The sequence below is a fragment of the Homo sapiens genome, chromosome 5, assembly GCF_000001405.40.
Source record: "Homo sapiens chromosome 5, GRCh38.p14 Primary Assembly".
In the NCBI taxonomy this organism is placed as follows: Eukaryota; Metazoa; Chordata; class Mammalia; order Primates; family Hominidae; genus Homo; species Homo sapiens.
Window position 1 is genome coordinate 56,250,575 of NC_000005.10, and position 23,929 is coordinate 56,274,503.

At 40.7% G+C, this 23,929-nt stretch overlaps 1 pseudogene, besides 1 other annotated feature; it reads right to left on the reverse strand.

Moving 5' to 3' along the window:
* Positions 7,045-7,552: an enhancer, noted in NCBI's record as "NANOG hESC enhancer chr5:55553446-55553953 (GRCh37/hg19 assembly coordinates)". NCBI's record gives its function as "activates a minimal SCP1, AML or CMV promoter by ChIP-STARR-seq in primed H9 embryonic stem cells {active_cell/tissue: H9 hESC(primed)}" and the evidence as "EXISTENCE:reporter gene assay evidence [ECO:0000049][PMID:30033119]".
* Positions 9,759-9,872, reverse strand: RNA5SP185 (RNA, 5S ribosomal pseudogene 185; annotated as a pseudogene).

A 23,929-nucleotide genomic window follows, 5' to 3' on the forward strand; every position in this document is an offset into this window, starting at 1 on the left:
CGCCTCCCGGATTCAAGCAATTCTCCTGCCTCAGCCTCCTGAGTAGCTGGGATTACAGGCACTCACCACCACACCTGGCTAATTTTTGTATTTAGTAGAGGTGGGGTTTCACCATGCCACATTGGTCAGGCTGGTCTCGAACTCCTGACCTCAGGTGATCCACCCGCCTTGGCCTCCCAAAGTGATGGGATTATAGGCATGAGCCACTGCGCCTGGCCAAGTTATTCCATCTCTTTTGCAACTTCATCTTTTTCCCTCCTCAAGAAACTTTTCCTTAGCCTACACATATATCCTTCTTCAGGCCTTAAAAAAATAAAAATGAAACAAAACTGTGATGATGTGATGTTTCTTCAAACAGATTTATTCTTTGTTTCTTGACATGATTTTGGGAATAAAAAGGCTACATTTGCTATTTCCTTTCCAGACCACCCAATCTCTGCTTGATCCAATGTAATCTGGCTTTAGCTCCCTAGCTGCTGAGGGCAAGTACTACTGTGCAGATGCTCTGATGGACAACTGTTCTGATGGAAGTTAGGATCCAGGTCACCTAGGGCCACACTGAAGTTTTTAATGGTTGGAGGAATTGATTGACAGCACCTGCTGTGAAAAACATACAGACTTAAATAATATTTCCTGCAAATCTCAGGGTTCCCAATATCTAAGCATTCACTGTTATTTTGGCGGTGGGAATGGGGCCTTGGCACTTTAGCCCAGGTGGTATAGAATGGTGGGAAGAATCGTGAACTTGGTGTCACAAGAAGTGGGCTCAAGTTCTCATTCTTCTTTGCACATGTTAGATGCTCAATCAACACTCGTTTAACTGAAATAATTATTTGCCCAGCAAACCACCCAGGACTCTTGCCTACTTAGTTTTATGCTAATGCATCTGCTATCCAGGTTGGGTCAAACACTGAGAGAGCCTAAATGGAGGTTAGGCATCTGGGCCTATAACCTAGGTGTCCACAGGCAGGAGTTAGTAAGCCCAGGGGCTTGGAAAGGGGTTTCTCTCTGAAGGGAGATTGAGACAGGGAGATGCAGGGTTGATGATGTTGGCTGCTGGACCCAGATCTGACCCTTTAGACAGAGAAGTGGGGCTCAAGCAAAATCCTCTCCTGCTTTAAGCCAGCTTGGTATTTCTCTGGTATCATCTATCTAGCTTTTCTCTATCTAGTTCTGCCTCCAGTTTCTTTTTTATTTCAAGATAATTTTAACCTCTGAATTCCTCTTGTTATGTGTCTTGAGAAAAAGTCCCAATATTCAGAGAGTCATAAACTATATTAGAGCAAGAAGTTATCTTAATCATCTTCAGTTTACACAGAGACCTAGAGAGCTGCTAATTAACCCAATCATCATCAGAGAAAGTAATTTTCTTTTATTTGTAAGAAGAAAATTAAGGAGGTTTGAATTATCATTTGGCTGGTTAAGGCGACACTCCCATTGCATGAATGCAGTGTCAACAATTTAATGACATCAAGAGATGGGAGGTTTCCTTTACACGCTCTCCCAAAGGATGTTTTCACATGTGGTTCTTTCAGATAACAGTTTTGAAATGTTGAGTGACACCCAGCACATTTTCTATTTGATTTCACAATCTTTTTGTAAGACAGAATTAAAAAAAAATCTATTTCCTTCCCGCTGGAAATAGAGCAAGCAGATTTACATTAAGCTTATGAAGCAGAAAATTAAAATTTTTGCAAAACCATGGTATGTATTATTTGGTCTACATTATGCTAAACAATTGGTTTTAGTCACTTTGGGCCCCTAAAAGTGACCATTTTTTGGTATGTTATAGACCCAGCCTGTATGTTTCTTGGTGAAATGGTGACTGAATCTTTCTTTGGCCTAATATGTCCTATTTGCCTGTGAGAGATCTGATGTATGAGTTATACGTGTAGCAATATGGCAGCCTTTAGGCAAGTTTAGATGAAATATTTCAGCTATGTGTAGGATTTAAGCTTCCAGGAGTTTATATTCTGACATTTCCCTCTTTCTCCCTCAGGGAAAGAAATTCTATTAAAATCCAAATTGAAAAATGGAGAAAAAAATGAGATCTCAATTTGCAGCAGGAAATTTTTGGCATGACTAGGCTTAGGGAGACAAAAGACAAGTTTGAAGAGCTAAATCTGAATTAATCTCTACATCTCTAATCAAACAGGTTTATGCTTTCCTTCATCCAGTTAAACAAACAAACTAAAATTCTATGGGCATACCTACACACATAATTGTTCTTTTGTTATAATATTTTCTCTGTTATAATTCAAGATAAAAATAACATACTAGGAAAGGTTTTGGCTATTTGCTCGATAAACTAAGATATGTCAGAAGTGATTTTCAACATCAGGCTATTAATAATATTTGATGGGAATAAAGGTTGTTATGGTGATCTCTGAATTCCTTTTTGTCAGTGATAAAGTCTACACCAGGATATCAGCCTGTTTAAATGCTTGAAGAAATGTTCGTGTAGTTCTGTCTGCATGCAATGGGCTCCTGTGTATGAAATTTCATGGCTACCATGCACAAATAGGAATCCAAATCAGAATTCTTATTTTTCTCTTAGTAAAAAACCCAACAGCTGAGTTAGAATGGTGTATTAGAACAACTCATCCATCAGCCATTGATTAAGAAGTAGGTATTGAACACTCATTAAGTGCCTGGCCCGATGCTGAGTGTCATTATTTGTTATTCCAAAATGCTTCATAAATGAGCAGCCCAGCTCAGATCTGATGCACTCTCAATTCCCCAAACCTTTGCCAAAATTGTTTTTGGCTGGAACAAAGATAAACATGTAGAATCTCTTTTTCTCTGACAGGAATAGCTGACTATATAGTATACTTCTCGTTTTTCAAAATCCAATTCTCAATATATATGGCTAATTAAAAAAATACACCAACAGTGAGATAAAATAAATAGTAAGCTATACACTTGGGAAACTATTTGCCACAAATATGCCAAAGAATTAATATCTTTCATATTTAAATATAATATGTTTCAATAAGAAAAACATCAACATAACAGAAAAATAGGTACAAGTGAATAGTTTATAGAGAAGGAAAAATAAGTCATCAATAAGGAAATGAAAAGATGCATTTTTTTTAGTCTAGTACATGGTAGCTATTCAATAAGTATTTATTGAATAAATGAAGAAATTCATTACTAAAGAAAAAGGGTTCAATATTGGTAGCAATAAAACATTAAAATTTCAAACAATAATTATATTTTGCCTCTCAAACTAGCCTATATTAGTATATCAGTCTGAGTCTAATGAGGAGATAGAAACCAAGCAGTAGATTGAATAAGGAAGTTTAATATAAATAACTATTAACTATCATAAAAGAGTAACTATAAGAGATAAGGAAACTCTCTGTGATGCCCTAGAACTAGAGGAGAGTACCCAGGGAAAGACAAACTCGGAAAGAGGTTCAGACCTCAATGGAGAAAGTTTAGTTCAACCCACTGGATAGCAGAGAAGTTCATTGCTGGTATGCTCAGACTGGTGCCGGTCAGCAGTCACTATGAAGCCACTTTTCAGAGTGCAGGTGGGATAACGTCATCAGTAACCAGTGGTATGAACATGCAGGGGTAGGAAAGTGCTTTAGGCTGCAGCGGGGCAGCACAGGGGCCTGCATAGGGTATCCAGGTGTCAGCATGTTCAGAAGGCCTTCGAGATGTTCGTTTCCATGTCAAGAGGGTCACAGAAATGTTATTGGCAGTCTGAGGCTATAAGGATTCTTGAGTTGTCTGAGTTTTCTGGGCCTAAGACTGGTGCAGACGTCTTCATACCCACACTACTGGCTCTCATGCTACAGTCGGAAACCTCAGGAGAGCCTCTTGTCTCCTGCAATGTCCCTGTAGTGCCTTCTTTAAAGGAGAAATGCTTAAAGGAATTCTATTATCTCAGAACATATATTGAAAAGTAAATTTGGAGCAGAGAGGCAATAAATTGATAATTAGTACCATCAGTTACCATTAAAGAAAAAGTATAAAGAATAATTTAAAAATATATTGATAAATATATTATTCTAAGTAATAATGGCAACCATCAAAAGTACTAAAATGATAAATTATTCACAATATTAACATGGAGGAAGTGAATTGAGAGTGAGAATAGAAAGACTTTTACTTTGTATTTTATTTCGTGCCTTTCTATATTATTTTTATTTTTTTGGTAGTTTTTATGAAAGAATGCATTATTTTCAATATCTGCATCCCCAAAGTCAGATAATCAAAAAATTAAACCTATTCACTAGTTAGATAGAAATAGTAAGCAATTTTCCAAATTATTATAAGAAAGAAAGAAGCAACAAAAATCCAGGAAAAATAAGAAACAGCAAAAAGAAACAACTATAAACCAAACAAATAAAAACAAAAACAGAATATCTGAATAAAAATAAACATAATAGTGTTCTCAAATAATGTAAATGGATTAAATTCCCCTATTAAGTATAAAAACTCCCAGAATGATTTTTAAAAAGCAAAATACAAATATATGATATTTTAGAAAACATGCTTAGAACAAAAGGCAGAATGTAATGAGAAAATTAGGCTAAAACCAAAGTGAGACAGAATGTAAGCTACCACAACTTTACAAGGTATGTGCCATCATTGTCCTCCATATCTGGTGAGGAAACTAAGACACAGCTACTGCGGCAGAACAGTGATTAAAACCCAGGTTTTCTGGCTCCTGAACCTGTGCTTGTAGCCATTATGCTAGATTGCAAAAATGGTCACAATTCTCAACCCCTGCAGCCTTATTTTTCCAGTTTCTTTGTAAGAAAGCAATTGCAAAACCACAGCTTTGAATATGAGAATGTGAATTCAGATGGATTTCAACAATTGTGAGCAGCCCTGTTTAATTCCAAGAGTAAGGTTTCTGTTATGACTTTTCACTTTTTGCACTAGGCTGGCAAGAGTGACTTAAATAACTGCAATAGAGAATCAAAATCCGTTCACTGCAAGATGAAAAACCTTAGCAGAAACCCCATTCCCCAAATTAAACAAGGCTGTTTATAATAATTGACACTTATTCTAATTCACTTTCTGGTATTCAGAGCTGTGGCTTTGTAATTGCTTTTTCAAGGGGAGATATTGGCATTTCTAGACTACAAAGCAGCACATGGTATCAAGATGTGTTTTGTTTCTCATGAATAATGATGCTGAACACCTTTCTCATTTGCATATTGATCATTTTCATATCCTCTTTTGTGGAGTGCTTGTTCAGGATTCTGGCTCAACATTAAAAATTGTGTTGTATATCTTTTTCTTATCAATTTATAGAACTTTTATACAAGAATATAGTCTAGATATAAATTCTTTGCCATATGTGTGTGTGCATGCAAATGTCTGAATAACAAATATTTTATACCAGTCTGAGGTTTGCTTTTTCCATTCTCTTAACCATGTCATTCATTGAACAGAATTTCTTTATTTTAATTAAATCCAATTTATCAGTATTTCCATGTGTTCTGTCTAAGAAACTATGGCCTAACCTGAGGTCCCTGAACATATTTACTGTGTTTTCTTCTAGAATTTTTATTGTTTTACTTTTCGTCTTTAGATATATGATCTACCTTGAATTAATTTTTGTGTATAATGTGAGGTAAGGGACAAGAGTCTTTTTTTCCCATATGAATATACACTTGAACCACCACCATTTATTGAAAAGATAATTCTTTCTCCACTGAGTTTCTGTGATGCCTTTATCATAAATCAGATTTATCATAAATCCTATGGATGTGGGTCTGTTTCTGAAGTCTAATTTATTCCATGATCTGTTGTCTTTTCTTGTTCCAGTACCATACTGTTTTAATTTCTCTAGCTTTGATATCAGGTTTTGTCTTTTTTCTTCAGTATTGCCTTAGCTATTCAGAGTTCTTTTTATTTCCATATCAATTTTACAAATAGCTTATCAATTTCTACCAAAAAAATTGATAGCATTTTTATTGGGATTGCATTGAATTTATATATCCATTTGGAATGACTTGATATCTTAAGACTGTTGCATCTTTGAATTCCATGTTCATGATATTACCTGTCATTTACTTAGATCTTCTTTTACTTCTCTCAGCAACTATCTGTAGTTTTCATCGTAGAGATCTTATACAACTTCTATCAGATTTATTCTACATAATTGATGTTTTTGGTGCTTTAAAAATTTTACCAATTGTTTGTCTCTTTTTAAAAATAGATTCATTTCCCCAATGAAATTCTCCAACCTTTCTTCCATTTTGTCTATCATTTTCTCCATTCTCTTGACCATATTAATCACAGTTATTTTAAACTCCCTGTCAGTTATTGTTAACATCTGATTCACCTATAAATCTATTTACTTTAAATAAATTTCTACTTGGATTTCCATAATTTGGTTCAAAGCCTGGACGGTTCAAAGCCTGGAACATTCGCCAAGGTTTTTCTATTTTGGAAAGGTTTTAATTATGACCTTTGCCTCCCTAGTACTGAAATCTCTGATCAGATCTTCAGCTATCCTCCTTCCCTCCCTCCCTGCCTCCCTTCCTTCATTCCTTCCTTCCTGTCTCCCTCCTTCCCTTCCTTCTCTCTTTCTTTCTTTCTCTTTCTTTCTTTATCTTTCTTTCTTTCTTTCTCTTTCTTTCTTCTTTCTTTCCTTTCTTTTCTCTTTCTCTCCTTTCTTTCTTTTCTCTCTCTCCTCCCCTCCCTCTCTCCCTCCCTTCTTTCCTTCCTTCTTTTCCTCTCTCCCTCCTCCCTCCCTTCCTCCCCCCTCTCTTTCTTTGTGTCTTTCTCTCCTTCTATTTCTTTATTTCTTGTTTCATATTTTGTGTGCCAGCTTAGGAACCCATAAACTTTAGGGAAATAAGTTTGCAGAATTGTAGGCACCTTTGTTGTTTCCCTTCTTCAGGACTTTCCTAAGTCCTGCCTGCTTTGGCAGCTCCAAATTCTTACTTCTACTTTCTCAGCCCACTAAGACTGTTGTATTTGTATATCCCTATTCTGCAGTGTGTACATGTCCTCAAGAGAATATCTGGAATGTATGTGGACCTCATGCCATAGGGTTTTCTTTAAATCTCGCTTGTGCTTGGTGTCTCCAGTGCCTTCAGGCAATTGCTTTATGTATTTTGTGCAACGTTTATAATTTTTTTTTAAATTTTTTTAGTATTTATTGATCATTCTTGGGTGTTTCTCGGAGAGGGGGATTTGGCAGGGTCATAGGACAATAGTGGAGGGAAGGTCAGCAGATAAACATGTGAACAAAGGTCTCTGGTTTTCCTAGGCAGAGGGCCCTGCCGCCTTCCGCAGTGTTTGTGTCCCTGGGTACTTGAGATTAGGGAGTGGTGATGACTCTTAACGAGCATGCTGCCTTCAAGCATCTGTTTAACAAAGCACATCTTGCACGGACCTTAATCCATTTAACCCTTAGTGGACATAGCACATGTTTCAGAGAGCACGGGGTTGGGGGTAAGGTTATAGATTAACAGCATCCCAAGGCAGAAGAATTTTTCTTAGTACAGAACAAAATGGAGTCTCCTATGTCTACTTCTTTCCACGCAGACACAGTAACAATCCGATCTCTCTTTCTTTTCCCCACACTTCCCCCCTTTCTATTTGACAAAACCGCCATCGTCATCATGGCCCGTTCTCAATGTGCTGTTGGGTAAACCTCCCAGACGGGGTGGCTGCCGGGCAGAGGGGCTCCTCACTTCCCAGACGGGGCGGCCGGGCAGAGGTGCTCCCCACATCCCAGACGATGGGCGGCCGGGCAGAAACGCTCCTCACTTCCTAGACGGGATGACGGCCGGGAAAAGGTGCTCCTCACTTCCCAGACTGGACGGCCAGGCAGAGGGGCTCCTCACATCCCAGATGATGGGCAGCCGGGCAGAGACGCTCCTCACTTCTTAGACAGGGTGGCGGCCGGGCAGAGGCTGCAATCTCGGCACTTTGGGAGGCCAAGGCAGTCGGCTGGGAGGTGGAGGTTGTAGCGAGCCGAGATCACGCCACTGCACTCCAGCATGGGCAATATTGAGCACTGAGCGAGCGAGACTCCGTCTGCAATCCTGGCACCTCGGGAGGCCGAGGCTGGCAGATCACGCGCGGTCAGGAGCTGGAGACCAGCCCGGCCAACACGGCGAAACCCCGTCTCCACCAAAAAATACGAAAACCAGTCAGGCGTGGCGGTGCGTGCCTGCAATCCCAGGCACTCGGCAGGCTGAGGCAGGAGAATCAGGCAGGGAGGTTGCAGTGAGCTGAGATGGCGGCAGTACAGTCCAGCCTCCGCTTGGCATCAGAGGGAGACCATGCAAAGGGGAGAGAGGGAGGGGGAGGGGGAGGGGGAGAGGGAGCGTTTATAGTTACTTTTGAAGAAAGGGCTAGGTGATGCAAGCTATTTTATCATAGCTGGAGTCCTAAATCTTCTCAGTATCTAGCCTTAAAGTATTAAAGTATCTAGCCTTGAGCTGTCTGTTATCTTCAGTAAGTCTTCTAAACTTAATGGCTTCCTTTTCATAGTTTCTTCGGGGAATTAAAAGGAAAATGACTGTTTCATGTTTAGGCTGGCACAGGGTGAACAGAAGAGACCAGTCATAGAAGATGAGATATGAGGGGACAAAAATGCAGCAAAAGCAGAAAATAAAAGCAAATACTGCCTGGGAGAAATGCACAGATTACTGAGAGCTGGTGCATTGCCAGTGCACATGGAATGAGAACTATTTAGTGAGAATTTTTCTTTCCTACTCATATGTTTCTTCCTCTAAAGGGAGCCCATTTATCACAACTCTGGGTCTCTCTCTGTTTCTTTACTCACTGTGTCTCTGGGGTGGTGGAATGACTCATTTGTTTGAGAAATATGGGAAGAATTGTGGTGTATGTTTAGCTCAACTCTGTCCTCATACTGCCCACAGAAAACACGAATTTACTTATTGTCAGTAATAATACTGACAAATTTGGGTAGTCCCCTTCCACATGGCAAAGTCTCCTTGAATCTGACACTGGGACAGGGTGTTCAAGCCTTGAGTTCATTCAGCAAGAACATACGATTCTCAACGTAGACTCTTAGAACTTTGCTTTTATCTATCAAAAAGTTGCTATTTGTCCTGTATATATGTTTTTTTCCCCCTTCTCCTCAACTTGTTTAGAACCTAGATGAAAAGAGGGGTGCTATTTGTTGGGATATTCTCAAAGATCTTAACATGGACTGTCTTAGTCTTGATCTCCTAGAGAACAAAACCTAAGGGAAAGATCTGACAGTTGGTTTAAGAGGTGCAAGCCAGGGGTGTGAAAATGTTGAAAACAAATAGAAGTTAATTAAGGAAAGAGGTGAAGCTATGGGGTGTGATGTAGGATGCTGGCTTCAACTTCCCAATGAGCTGTAAAGAGATATAGGGCATCTGTCTTCATTTGGCACATGCGACTTTTTTGGAGTGTGTGTGTGTGTGTGTGTGTGTTGTGTTTTTTCTTTTTGAAACAGTCTCACTCTATCACCCAGGCTGGAGTGCAGTGGTGTGATCTCGGCTTACTGCAACCTCCCATCTCCTGGGTTCAAGCAATTCTCGTGCCTCAGCCTCCCAAGTAGCTGGGATTACAGGTGTGTGCCACCAAACCTGGCTAATTTTTGTATTTTTAGTAGAGACAGGGTTTCACCATGTTGGCCAGGCTGGTCTGGAGTGCCCGACCTCAGGTGATCCGCCAGCCTCGGCCTCCCAAAGTGCTGGAATATAGGCTTGAGCCACCGCGCCCTGCCTTTTTTGGAGAGTTTTTAAAGAGAAGCCATACTATGAATGGATGAAAGGAAGGACATATGTCTGCCTGATTCTCTTTTTTCCACCTGAGTACTAACCAGGCCCCACCCTGCTTAGCTTCCGAGAGCAGGCGAGATTGGGCTCATTCAGGGTGGTATGGCCAGACTCTGATTCTCTTTCATTTCCTGTTTCCCAATGGTCAAGATTTACTCCATGGAAAGTTAAGGCCCCTTACACTTCTGGGTGGCATCATCTAGCCCCTTCTCAGCTGCTCAGGTGCCGTGCCCCACTATGTAGCATTTCATCTGTGACACTGGGAATGAGGCGCCAACTGAGAGAAGACAGCAATTGAGGGAATCTTGAAAAAGGGCAAGGTTTATGTCCAATACAGAGACTGGAGATGTTTTCACTTTAATCTTCCTAGACTTGTGGACAGTACCTGCAGTACGTGGATCATTCATGTGAATGGCTTTCAGATTACACCAGGTAATGCTTTCTTTGTCCCAACAGTGTGATGGTCATGGGGAAAGCTTCCAGCCCCATGGGAAGCCAGCAGTGGCAATAGTTTGGGGAAGGCTGTTCTTTCAGCATTCCTCAAATCAGTGAACTTACTCAGTGGAGGGTTGGTTTGGGATGTGTTCTTGGGTTGAGGGTTTGGCCTCAATTAAATTTAAACAATAGATTCCTGTAACATAAAGAGTAAAATTATAACATTATACAATGTTATATATAGCTGAAAGGGATCTTACTCTTCCCATTCTTTTCTGAATGATTTTGTGAAGAGCCTGACAAAATCTCCTTTTCTTCCTTCTCTCCTTCTTCCTTCTCATTCTCACAAAGCAGAGAGATAAAGGCAAGAAGCCTATCACTCAAACACTGTCCCATGTCCCAGTAAACACAAACAGAGCTCCCGAAGGAGCTTTCAGAAAATTGCCCCTGCTGGCGTATTCCTTGTTTGGGTGCCAGGTGAGGGGAACCCTATTGTGTGAATACACAATGTGCCCAGTCTCTCTCCATCGAGGTCCATCACCATCTTTCTGCTGGTTGGAGATTATCACTGGCAACGCCTGCAGAGGAACCTGGGACCATATCTGCCCACTCTAGTCCCTCCACGAAAGCCGCAGGAGGATTGCCCCTTACTGACCACCTGCTGGCATGCACTGATGAAACTTCAGGTCACACAGTTGCTGCCACGGAGGTGAGAATTGGATTGGGTGGGTTAGAGCGAGTTTTGGGGTGGCAAGGCATAAAAGCAGATGGCCTGCCCTAACTGGAGGGTTTGTGCCTATTTTGCAGATTACAGAGATCTTTTGGGAAGTGGATGTGAAGGGCTCCGGAATGTTCCTGCCTGTGCCATTCCAGGGTGAGTTCTTGGGTGTTCATGCGGAAGGCCCGAATATTCTGTTATGGGTATCTTTCTACACAAAAACGTTATGCTGTACCCTCTACAACCTGTGTTCTAGTCAGTGCTAGACTTATCTGCAAAAGTGTCGGCAGAGAAAATGAGGTGAGGGTCTCTGAGAGACTGGCATTGAAAACTGGCTCTAGGGTTCTATGGGAAGAGAGGAGGGATGGCTGGGAGGCGAACTAATTTCCCAAGGCTAGAGCCTGTCTTAACGTCTCCTTTGGGGGAACCCAAGTTCTACCAAAGTTTAAAGTGGCAGAGTTTGAAGACAATACAGGCCCCAGGCCCATAGTCTGTGGATGAAACCGTAAATCTATCCCTCATCAGAGGGAGGCAGAAAGATGCTTCAAGCATGTAAACCCTGCCACTCAAGAGGTAGCGTCTAAGTGGGAGAAGAAGAAACATCATCATATGTTGGTCTAGAACAGAGATTCTCAAGTGTTTGGGTCTCAAGACTCCTTCACTCTCTTACAAGTGATAGAGGACCATAAGGAACTTTGGTATATGTGAGTTATATCAACCTATAGTTACTATACTTGAAATAAAACCCGGAGGACTTAAAAAAGTTTATTAATTTTAAAAACTCCAATAATAAACCCAATACCAATGAACATAAATACCACATATTTATGAAAATGACTTATTTTCTGAGACAAAAAATTATCAAAATGACACTGATGTATGTCTCTATAAAATGTTTGCCAATCTCTTTGATATCTGGCAAATCTCTCTTTGAGAAATGCTTTCTATCAGAAGACAGCTGGATTCTCATATCTGTTTCTGCACTAGTCTGTTTGATATCACATATCATGTAGCCTCTGGAGAGCACTAATGCACACTTGAGAGGACGAGATGAAAAAGGCGATTGATGCCTCAGTGTTATCATGAAAACTAGTTTTGACCTGAAAGAGGCTTAAAGTTTCCAAACCACACTTTAAGAATACCCGGTCAAGAATTTTCTGGTGAAACTTATTTATTTACTGTTCTTTTAAAAACAAGGGGTTTTTAATATCCATGAAAAGATAACTATTGATTCTTATTTGGCAGTAGAGAAAGTCTTAATGGTTAAAAAATTTGTAGTTTAGTGAAAATCATTTCTGGGGAAATATATTTGCTTCCATATTTTTTCCTGCAGCTTTCAATCTTGCTGGTAAGTACACTTCTACTTAGATGCTCTTTGCTTTGTGACAGAGAAACTCATATTTCTGATTTTTTCTTTAACTGAGGTTTTTCATTCCTGTGATCTCAGGCCTGCCGTGAGCCAAGGGACTTTGGCTGGGGCTGGGGATGGGATGAGAGGGTGGGAAGGTTAAGAGCTGGATCTGCCGTTTGCTGAGTGTGTGACCTTCACCGATTTACTTAGTGAATCCAGAAAGAAGCTTTTTATTGGAAGTAGCCAAAACAAACAAACAAACAAACAAAACAAAACAGAAAAACCCAGCCTGAAAGCCTTAAACAAGAAGAACAATGTATTTTCTCATATATTATGAAGGCTGAGGTAGAATTTCATTAGAGTTGGTTGATTCAATGGCCCGATAAGGGAGAACTCAGGTTCTTGCCATCTTTCTACTCTGCCATCTTCAACATACCAGTAGTATCTTTAGCTACTCTTCTTGGTACCCTGAGTCACGTCTGGACACAACATCTGATGGAAGAAACAGGAACTTTTCTTCCCATATGTCTCTTTATTATCTAGTAATCCTTTCCAAAAGCCTCCCCCCTTCCACTAGCAGACCTCATCTCATGAATTATTGAACAAAACTAGGTCACTTGTTCCTACCTAAGCCAAACCCCAGCTATTGAAAGTGGGTTTCTGTGATGGGCCTCCCTAATTTGTATGCATGCCAGAGCTGCTTGGGGAGGGGTGGACATTTGAAAAAAATTTGAGATTGGTCAATGAGGAGGGAGCGTATTGGGTAGAAAACCGCTCATGTCTGCTACACTTAAGTTTGCTGAGCCTCATTTTCCTTATCTGCAACATGGAGTAAGAATAGTATCTGCTATAAGGCACATGATGCTAGCTATTATTTCAGTTGTCATTATTATTAAGCTCCTGGATAGTATCATGAGAAGCAGTTGATTAAGGAGAATTGCTCCAAAACTTGCTTTTTGAAATCTTTGAGTACCACATACATATATGTAGGAATGGATGGCAAATCTCACCAAAGTTTATACAGTCAAATTGGTAGAATAGCCTCTCTTCTATAGATCTCCTCCTCTATTGATAATATCTCCGATCACATATTGATAATACCTTTTATTTTTTGACTTCATGTCTTGGATGAGTTGAAGCTGGATTGGTCGTGGCTTATATAAGTCCGAGAAAGGGATTCGGGACAAAGTTTTGTTTTGCTTTTGTCACAAAAACATTCTAGATTACACATATATGAGCTGAGCTGACTGCAGGGTGCTCAATGCAGAGAAAGTTCGTATTATTTAAATAAATGATTTTATACTCATTTATTTTTTGACTGTGCCATGTACTACAGTAGGTCCTTTACATATACATGTTTTTCTAATCCTACCAACAAAAATGTATTGGTGCGTTCTTCTCATTCATTCAACATATATTTGATTGCCAGTAATCTCATTTTACAGACAATAAAATGGAGGTTTACAGAGGTTGACGCACATGGTTACAGTGATATAGCTGGTAAGTGGCCACGTTGGGATTTGTGCTTAGGTCAGCCTGACTTCACTCCATGCAAAGTCTTCATGCCTTCGTTTCCTGAGAGCTTCCTCAGTGTTCAATTTCACCAGGCTTCACCATTAAGAATGGAGGTGGGCGGGATCAGTGACAGGGTGTTGGCTCACACTGAGGGGTGAAGCCAGATCCCAGGATGGTCTGTTGTTAGATGGCCCCCTCTGGTCACCGTACTTCCCTGGAATTTGGGTTTGTTCCTCTTGGCTCCTGCAGGTGGCAGGTTTGTACCAGTCAGTGCTTGCCTTCTCCTTGCCAAGAGACTAAAGTGGGGAGAATGACTTTGTTGGCAAACTGTAGACATCAGATGCATCACTTTCTGGACTCATTCTGTAGGATGGGCAGCTGGCTCTTTTCAGCTACCCTCATGCAAGAAGATGGAATAAACTGCATTTGAATTGGAATTTTACTTATGAAACGTGCCCTCAAATATTTAATACACACTTATCCCAATGACAAATGTTGACGCACTTAGGGAATGTATTGGCACCTATAGCTAACACATCTATTATGTTTATCTGTACAATCGCCATAAGCTTCCTAATGTGGTGGGTATGAATTATTTATGTAGCATAGTGCTTGGTGCTTGTGACTTCTCAGTTGATGTTTGTAGAAAGCATTAGTGAATAACTTGGAGTAAGATGATCTGGGTTTCAGCTTTTAGTTGGTTATTTCCTATTTGGGAAGCTTTTAGTAAGTCAGATGTTCTCTGAATCTCAGTTTCCTCATCTGTAACATCAATCATGATGATAATTCCTAAGCTCACTTTTTATGGGAATGAAAGGCATATGGAAAGGACTTGGTATAGTACTTGTCAGAGATGGTTATTATTTTTAGGTGACCACACCAAAGTTGTAAAATATGTTAGTGTTTGATACCTCCTTGTTGGGATTATAATATAAAATGTCTGGGGCTAGAATTTAGCCAGATCCCACTGGTGACACCTCATCTCTGGTTGGAATTTCCTGCCCTCTTCTCAAAGTACATACCTTTGTCACTTCACATGGATAATTGTTGAAGTAATTTACTTATTGTTTGTCCTGGCTTCAATGTTGCCTTCTTCATCTCCAATTTCATTCATTCATTCATTCATTCATTCTTTTTTTTTTTTTTCCAAGACAGAATCTCTCTCTGTTGCCCAGGCTGGAGTGCAGTGGCATGATCTCGGCTCACTGCAACCTCTGCCTCCTGGGTTCAAGTGATTCTCCTGCCTCAGCCTCCCTAGTAGCTGGGACCACAGGTGCCACCGCCACGCCTGTTGAGTTTTTGTATTTTTAGTAGAAAGCCATGTTGGCCAGGCTTGTCTCGAGCTCCTGGCCTTAAGTGATCCTCCTGCCTCTGTGTCCCAAAGTGCTGGGATTACAGGCGTGAGCCACCACACCCGGCCCTTTCTTTCTCTTTTTAAATATAATTTTGTCATCTTTCTTCTAGACAATAGATTATCCCTTTAAAACATTTTTCTTGTAAGACATTTACTTTTGTTAAATGGTGAAAAGTTAACAGTTTCTTATCTAGATTTATAAAGATTTTTTAAAAATTTCAACTTTTATTTTAGATACAGGGGTACATATGCAGGTTTATTACATAAATGGACTGCACCCAGGTCATGAGCATAGTACCCAATAGGTAGTTTTTCACCTCATTCCCTCCCACCCTCTCCCATCTAGTAGTCTGCAGTGTCTGTTGTTCCCATGTTTATGTCTATGTATGTTCAATATTTAGCTCCCACTTTTAAGTGAGAACATGCAGCATTTGGTTTTCTGTTCCTGCATTAACTCACTTAGGATTATGGCCTCCAGCTCCATCCATGTTGCTGCAAAGGACATGATTCATTCTTGTTTATGTCTGTGGAATATTCCATGGTGTATATGTTCTACATTTTCTTTATTCAGTCCATCATTTATTGGCACCTAAGTCAATTCCATGGCTTTGCTATTGTGAGTAGCATGGCAATGAACATATGAGTGCATGTGTCTTTTTGGTATAATAATTTATTTTCCTTTGGGCATATACCCAATAATGGGATTTCTGGGTCGAATGGTAGCTCTGTTTTAAATTCTCTGAGAAGTCGCCAAACTGCTTTCCACAGTGGCTGATCTAATTTACATTCCCACCAACAGTGTATAGGTATTCCGTTTTCTCTGCAGCCTTGCCAGCATCTGTTTTTTTTTTTTTTTTTACTTTTTAGTAATGGTCATTCTGAATGGCGTGAGATAGTGTCTCATGGTGGTTTTGATTTCCATTTCTCTGATGATTAGTGATGATGAACTTTTTTTTTTTTTTGAGATGGAGTCTCGCTTTGTTGCTCAAGCTGGAATGCAGTGACGCGATCTTAGCTCACTGCAACCTCCACCTCCCAGGTAGGTGGGTTCAAATGATTCTCCCACCTTAGCCGCCCAAGTAGCTGGGATTACAAGTGCGCCACCACACCCTGCTAATTTTTTTTTTGTATTTTTAGTAGAGATGGGGTTCCACCATGTTGACTAGGCTGGTCTCTAACTCCTGACCTCAAGTGATCCTCCTGCCCAGGCCTCTCAAAGTGCTGGGATGACAGGCATGAGCCATCGCACCCAGCCAGATGAGCATTTCTTCATATGTTTGTTGGCCACTTGCATGTCTTCTGAGAAGTGTCTGTTTAGGTCCTCTGCCCATTTTTTAATGAGGTTATTTGGTTTTTGCTTGTTGATTAGTTTAATTTCCTTATAGAGTCTGGATATTAGACTTTTTTCAGATGCATAGTTTGCAAATATTTTCTCCCGTTCCCTAGATTGTCTATTTACTCTGTTGATAGTTTCTTTTGCTGTGTAAAAGCTCTTTAGTTTAATTAGGTTCCACTCATCAACTTTGTTTTGGTTTCAATTGTTTTTATTTCCCTCTCATTTCTGAAGGCTTTTTTCAAGGAGGCCCTTCCATAATCCTAACTTCCATGTGCTTCTGTCACCTGACCACCATTATCCACCCACTAACATCCATGCAAAAAGGGTGTGCAGTGGCAGCAGGGTAACTCTTGGGACCCCAATGAGCTTTGTGCATTTTCACTTCTCAGCCTGTGTGTGCTCTCCCTCTCCTTCTCCCTCCTTCCTTGGAAGGTCTTCTCCATCCTCTCTTTACCCCAAACCACATCTACATCTCCAGGATCCCTCTTCCGTGAAGGTCTCATCCATCCCATGCTGATCTCCCCACTTTGAACTCCCTTTGCTCTTATGAGGCATTACAGATTGCTGGATATTTAAAGGCATGGTCTTTGGTGTCGGACAGCCTGGAATAAAATCCTGGCAAATGATTTAAACTTTATGTGGGTTGGTTTCCTTACCCCTAAAGTGGCAATAATTATAGTACCTACTTAATAAAGTTGTTTTGAGGATTCAACAACATGATTTATATAAAGCATTTAGCACAGTCGTTGGAACAGAGTAAACACTCAATACACTGCCACTATTACTATCCTGATCAGTATTATCAGTAAAGAGATTACTTGATACTTCTTTATTGCTTGTATCGGATTGGGCCTCATCTTCCTAGGTAGATAGCTTCTTATATTCAGGGACTGTGTCCCATGTTTCTTTGCTGCAACCCTTGCATTCATTGCCTTATATACTCCCTGAACATGGCAAGTACACCACAACTTCTTATTGCTTGATCAGTCTTGTCTAGTATTAAGAAATAAAACCGATCTTTGGTTAATTTTTAGTAAAGCCACATAGACACTGATTGAGGATGCCATTGCCATGTGCCAAGAATATCTACAAAGCTTTCTGATTAGAGACAGTGGCCCATTCAGAATTCACAGAGTAGCCTGTCTGACTGTAATATACATTTTATTTAATTTTTTGAGACAGGGTCTCGTTGTTGCCCAGGCTGGAGTGCAGTGGTGTGATCTCGGCTAACTGCAGCCTCGACCTCCTGGGCTCAAATGACCCTTGCACCTCAGCCTTCCATGTAGCTGGGACTACAGGCATGCACCACCACACCCATCACACTTGGCTAATTTGTGTAATTGTTCTTTTTAGAGATGGGGTTTTGCCGTGTTGTCCAGGCTGGTCTCAAACTCCTGAGCTCAAGTGATTTGCCTGCCTCAGCCTCCCAAAGAGCTAAGGTTATAGGTGTGGGCCACTGTGCCTGATTATAATATACATTTTATTAAAACAAAGAGTTCATATCCTTTTTAAAGTTTATTTTTTTTTACTGTAAGTTCTGGGGTACATGTGTAGAATGTGCAGGTTTGTTACATAGGTACACACGTGCCATGGTGGTTTGCTACACCCATCAGCCTGTCATCTACATTAGGTATTTGTCCTAATGCTATCCCTCCCCTAGTCCCCCACCCCCCGCAACAGGCTCCAGTATGTTATGTTCCCCTCCCTGTGTCCATGTGTTCTCATTGTTCAACTCCCACTTATGAGTGAGAACATGAAAGTGTTTGGTTTTCTGTTCCTGTGTTAGTTTCCTGAGAATGATGGTTTCCAGCTTCATCCATGTCCCTGCAAAGGACATGAACTCATCCTTTTTTATGGCTGCATAGTATTCCATGGTGTCTATGTCCATTCTATCCATTCTTTATCCAGTCTATCATTGATGGGCATTTGGGTTGGTTCCAAGACTTTGCTATTGTGAGTAGGGCTGCAATAAACATACGCATGCATGTGTCTTCATAGTAGAATGATTTATAATCCTTTGGGTATATACCCAGTAACGGGATTACTGGGTCAAATGGTATTTCTGGTTCTAGATCCTTGAGGAATCACCACACTGTCTTCCACAGTGGTTGAACTAAATTACACTCCCACCAACAGTGTAAAAGCATTCCTATTTCTCCACATGCTCTCCAGCATCTGTTGCAAAACAAACAGTTTATTTCCTATACAATTTGCTCATTGTCTATAACATTGGGAAATAAAGGAGAAAAGTGTGACAAGTGACTAAATAATTTCAGTGATGACTAGGACATTTGTGAAGTTTATCAGCCAACAAAACATAATAAAATTGAGTTGGTCCCTAGTCTCCCAAATATCCCCTCTCTGCAGCTCTGGAGGGCTGTGACGTCAACGAGGAATAATGGCTCGCGTCCACGGTTCTGGTTGTTTTCTCCTTCAGTTTTCACAATTCTTTTTTTTTTTTTTTTTTTTTAAGTGCTAACCTGCTTTCTTTCTCTCTGCCAGGGGTGGATGTGATTACAAAGCTCTTCTCAGCCTCAGGTAAAGATTATTGTTACCTGTGGTCCTGAGAGACCTGGCTCTATTTCTCAAACCTTTTGTATGTGTGCTGGGAAACCCTAGGGTTAAATGTCACTTCTCTAGAGAGCTGGGGGAACTTTCACCACCACAAAGTGGCCTAATCCCACGCTCTGTCTGAGGGTTTCTCTGGAGTCCCTCTGCTGGCCATGAGAAACAAGAGCAGAAAGCAGTTCTTTAGAATAAGAAACCCAGAATTTTGTATTTGAAAGTGATACATAGAGATGTAGAGAGGCAAGACTTTTCCTGCTCAGCAAAGGGAAGTCACACTCAGGTTATGATCTAAAGCAGTGAGACTAGGTGCAAAATCAAAATTAATTTAATACAGGGTACTGGAAAAAAATAATTCCTTTGAGGAATAACTGGAATGTACAACTAATGTTTGGTTTTTAGAACAAGGCTGGAAGGCATGTTCCTTACCCACAAATACTCCGCCTTTCCCCCAGGTTGCTTTGGTCTGGTCTAATTCATGAGTCAGATTACCAAGGTATCATACAAATAGACAGACGCCATACAGATACCAAACTGAACCGATGGAATCAGACACTTGAGTGTGCGCAATTGATGCAGCACTCTGATTACGGACTGGGCTTTGTGGTCCATTGGCCCTGGGTTTCATTAACTGTCCAGGCTCCCTCCAGAGACTCAGGGCATGTTTTGTTGCTGTGGGTGGTGCTCTTGCTCTATCAAAGGGACCGCAAGAGAGTATGCGCTTCAGATGATGACCAGTATAGGTGCTGAAGGACTTCTTATACAAAAAGAAGCAGCTCCTGGTGTTTGTCACCAAAAGGATGAGAAAAAGAGAAATGAAAATCAACCACATATGCAACAATGTCATATCTTCTCGACTCATTTTCTGATCAAACGAAAATGAAAATAAAATCCATGCACTATACAATGACTTAGAAATATCTACCAGCCCAGAGAAGTAGATAAAGAGTGAAAATATTTCAAAGGAGATGGATGAGAAATAGATGGCACTTGGTGGAAAGTCCTGACAATACAGCAAAGGAGAAACTGGTCACTTGTGTTTAGGAAAGGGCAATGTACTGAGGGGCCTTGGCCATCCCTGAGGTGCAATGCATGACAGCAGCCAGTGGGGGTCAGAGGTGCTCCATGGCTTAGAGCGCCTTTAACCCTCAGCCTGCAAATCCTGCGCACAGGAGACCAGCTGGACCTCCTTTGGAGCTGGTACTTCCCTCCAGGCAGAGCAGAACTGTGAAAACATAGGAGGTGGTTGATCTCATATGCTTTACCACAAGCGCACTTTTGACTTCAAGACAGTTTGCTGATTTTATTTTTTCTTTCACTTATTCTCTTCCCGTTTCTCTTGTTCCCAGCAAAAACCTCTCTGTTGATCATGGATACAGGACAGTCATCTCTCTGAGTTAAGCATGTGAACACCCAAAATCAAGGACTATAGCCTGTTTCCTGAACCCTTATCTCTCTAGGGTACAGAACTTTTTTTAAGTCACTGGCAGTTTGGAGACAATGCTTAAGTGGGTGGGTGGTTCTGGTTGGTTTATAGGTACACACGGGCATCCGGGCTGGAGGTGGCTCACACAAGCTCATGAGAGCCAGTTGTGTAATCTCTTCCCTGCCCCTAGTTAAGTGATGTCATGTTGGTAGCTTGATGTTGGCCATGGTGGGAGTATTTATGCTACAAAAATGGCCATTTACTGCAAATCAGGACTACCCCTCTCCCTGCAGCACCCCAGAAAGCTGGTTGTTAAATACAATGAGTACACCAATGGCCCCAGGGCAGGTTTAAGAGTCAGAGAAGGTATAAATTGCTGGTCAGGCCTGGTGGCTCATGCCTATAATCCCAACAGTTTGGGAGAGTGAGGTGGGAGGATCACTTGAGCCCAGGAGTTTGAGACCAGTCTGGGCAACATAGTGGGACCCCATCTCTACAAAAAAATTGGCTGGGTGTGGTGGCACACACCGGCTACTAGGGAGGCTGAGGCAGGAAGATCACTTGAGCCCTTGAGGTTGCAGTGAGCCATGATTGTGCCACTGCACTCCAGCCTGAGTGACAGAGCAAGACCCTGTCTCAAAAAAAAAAAAAAAAATTACTTAGCCTCATGTATGTTCATGTTCAGGCCACAATGCATCTAGTGAAAAGAAAAAGGAGCAGTGTTTGATTAGCTGAGAGGATCTTCCAGTATGAACCATTCCAGAAACTATAGTCAACAATCCTTTAAAGATGCCTTTCCTATTAAGGGCAAGCAAGAAATTAAATAAAATTTTTGTTTGTAATTTTTAACAGTTGAATTGCAGTACTAAGTGGCTCATGAAGCCATGCAACATCTTTTTCCTTTCAATTTTGAGCCTTAGGAAAAATGTGAGCTTTCTTAGAAAGCTTGTAACATCAGATTTATCGTTTTTATGAAGCAAAAATCCAGAATAAAAACAGTGGCCACCAGGAACCATTGAACAATACATGTTTGCTCATGTCATGTTCATGTACAACTCATGGATTTAAAGGCATAAAGTTAGCTTTTCTCAGAGAAAACACTCTATCACATTCATGGATTAACTTTCACCCTGGCCAGTCTATCAAAATTACTGGAAGACACACACATTCAAGGAGTTTGCTGTATTATAACATTTGCAACACTTTCTGCAAAGGAAATAGGTTTAAGTCATTAGATCACAATATATATTTTTATCATTAATGAAATGTTTTCAGATAGATTATCGGCCCCATGGGGTTTCTGGCCATGCAAGGAAGATGGCTAAATGGGGGTGCTAGCTCTCTGGGCTTGGGAGATGGAGTAAAAGCAGTGGGCAGGAGGGCTGAGGAAATAAGTCATTATAATGAGGCGGTGGGAGCCAGGTTTCTCACTGCAAGAAAAGAGTAATAAACATAGGAAAGAAGAAAGCTAGAATGAACGCTGTGGTCTATGGGATTAGGATGAGAAGTTTTGGTGTAAATTTAGAGTTTGCACTATGTGGGGTTGGATAAAGAAACAAAACGTTGATATACATTTCTGTGAGTCTGTGCATACACTTTATATCTTCATGTGTGCGTATGTATACACATTCACACATGTACACAAATACATACATTTCCTAGCTTTGTACTAGAGAGAGCTTGGGAGTAGTGAAATCCAATAACAAAGATCCTACCTAGAATTTAGTTTCTAAATATTATACTATTTTTCCATGAATATGGACCAGAATTCCTTGGAGAAATGGCCGATCTCACAGGTGGACCAGGAAAAATATGCCAAGTTTAAAATATCTTGTTGTGCCAGAAGGTAAGAAAGTAATCAAATAATGATGGCAACATAGAGGACATGGGACAGCCGGAAGGGGTGCCAGCTGGCCCAATCTGGGATGATTTGTGTGTCCAAGTAACCACAGTATTAGATTATATCCCATTGATTAAAATAGATATCCATGAGTCTGTCCTGATATAACAAGCAAATGAACACATAAATGGAAAGAGAATGCTCTTTCCTAAAGTAGAATGCCAGCTAATGAATGCTGAAAAAATTAAGGACTTAGAGCAATTTGAGAACCATAGTAATTATTTTAGGCAAAATGCATCAATAGATTTGAAAGCTGGAAGGTGAAAGTTGAGTAAAGAATGGGATGTTTACACAGTCTAGGGGTATCTCTCCAGGAAACACTTGTTGACTGCAAAGTAAAAAAAGGTAATTGGTGGTAACTGGGAGATACAGGGTTTCTTTTTGGAGTGATGAAGACATAGTAGAATTAGATCATGGTAATGGTTGCACAACATTATGAATTTACTAATAATCACTGAATTGTACACTTTCAAACAGTGAATTTTATGTTACATGAACTTATCTTTAAAAAAATAAAATTAATTTGACAAATCAGTTACATACTCTAGGCCTGGGGAAACAACAGTCAAGAGGTAGAGTTAGCAGAACCAAGTGGCTCAGAGGCGGACCCATTGACTGAGCTCAACCCCCTGGAGATGGGCATCGCCTGGCTGTTGCTAGTGCCTGCCAGGGGGAATGGGAGGCTGGTTCTGGGGCTACTGAAAGCTGGAGCCAACTATGCTGCTGGAGCAATACTGCTGCTGGAGAGACACTCCCAGAAAGTGCAAAGACCAGGAAGGAGGGTCCCTTTCCTTCCTCCCAACCTCCAGTCACACTCTAAGGCTTCTGCCGGCAGCATCTAAGGGGAAATGAACCAGATGGCTTACCATATCCAAGAGCAGAGTATAGAAAGGTGGGCTTGGATCCAAGAGACAATAGATAAATAACCAACACGCAGAGAACAATGGAGAATTAACAGCTCATACAATGAGGGGAGAGGATTCTTTTCTCATATAATTATTTTCTTCTCTAAAAGAGTGATTCGTTAGATCTTAAACTAAATGTTGCTTAATTTTAGAATAACTTCAGGAATATTTTTATAAATCAGAAAAAAATCTTATTCCTTTATATATGCTAATTCTACATCTGAAAACATTTTTCGGTTCTTACATTGCTCCCACCTCCTTGACCCTTAGGTATAATGGAGAGAATTCTGCATCCTAGTATGCATACGCATTCCCACCTGGGTGCCTTTGCTCTGGGTGCCTTCCCACCCAGAGGCCCTTCTTTCCTCTTCTCTGCCTGAGTTCTATTCTTCTTCCATCAATGAAGCCTTTTCTGTGCACATCAGTTAACAGTGACATTTTCTTTCCTGCTTCTGAGTCCTCATGGGACGAATTTCCAGGTTATGCTTGGACACACTGTCTTGAGTAACCAGCTAAGTTTTCATAGATGTGTGCTCATGTCTATTTATTACATGGATGGTTCCTGACATGCCCAGACAGTGTGAAGCCTCAATGAATATCCGTTCATGACTGAGCCTCTATGGACATTTGAGAACAGCTTTAAAGTGAATAACTGTATAATAATTT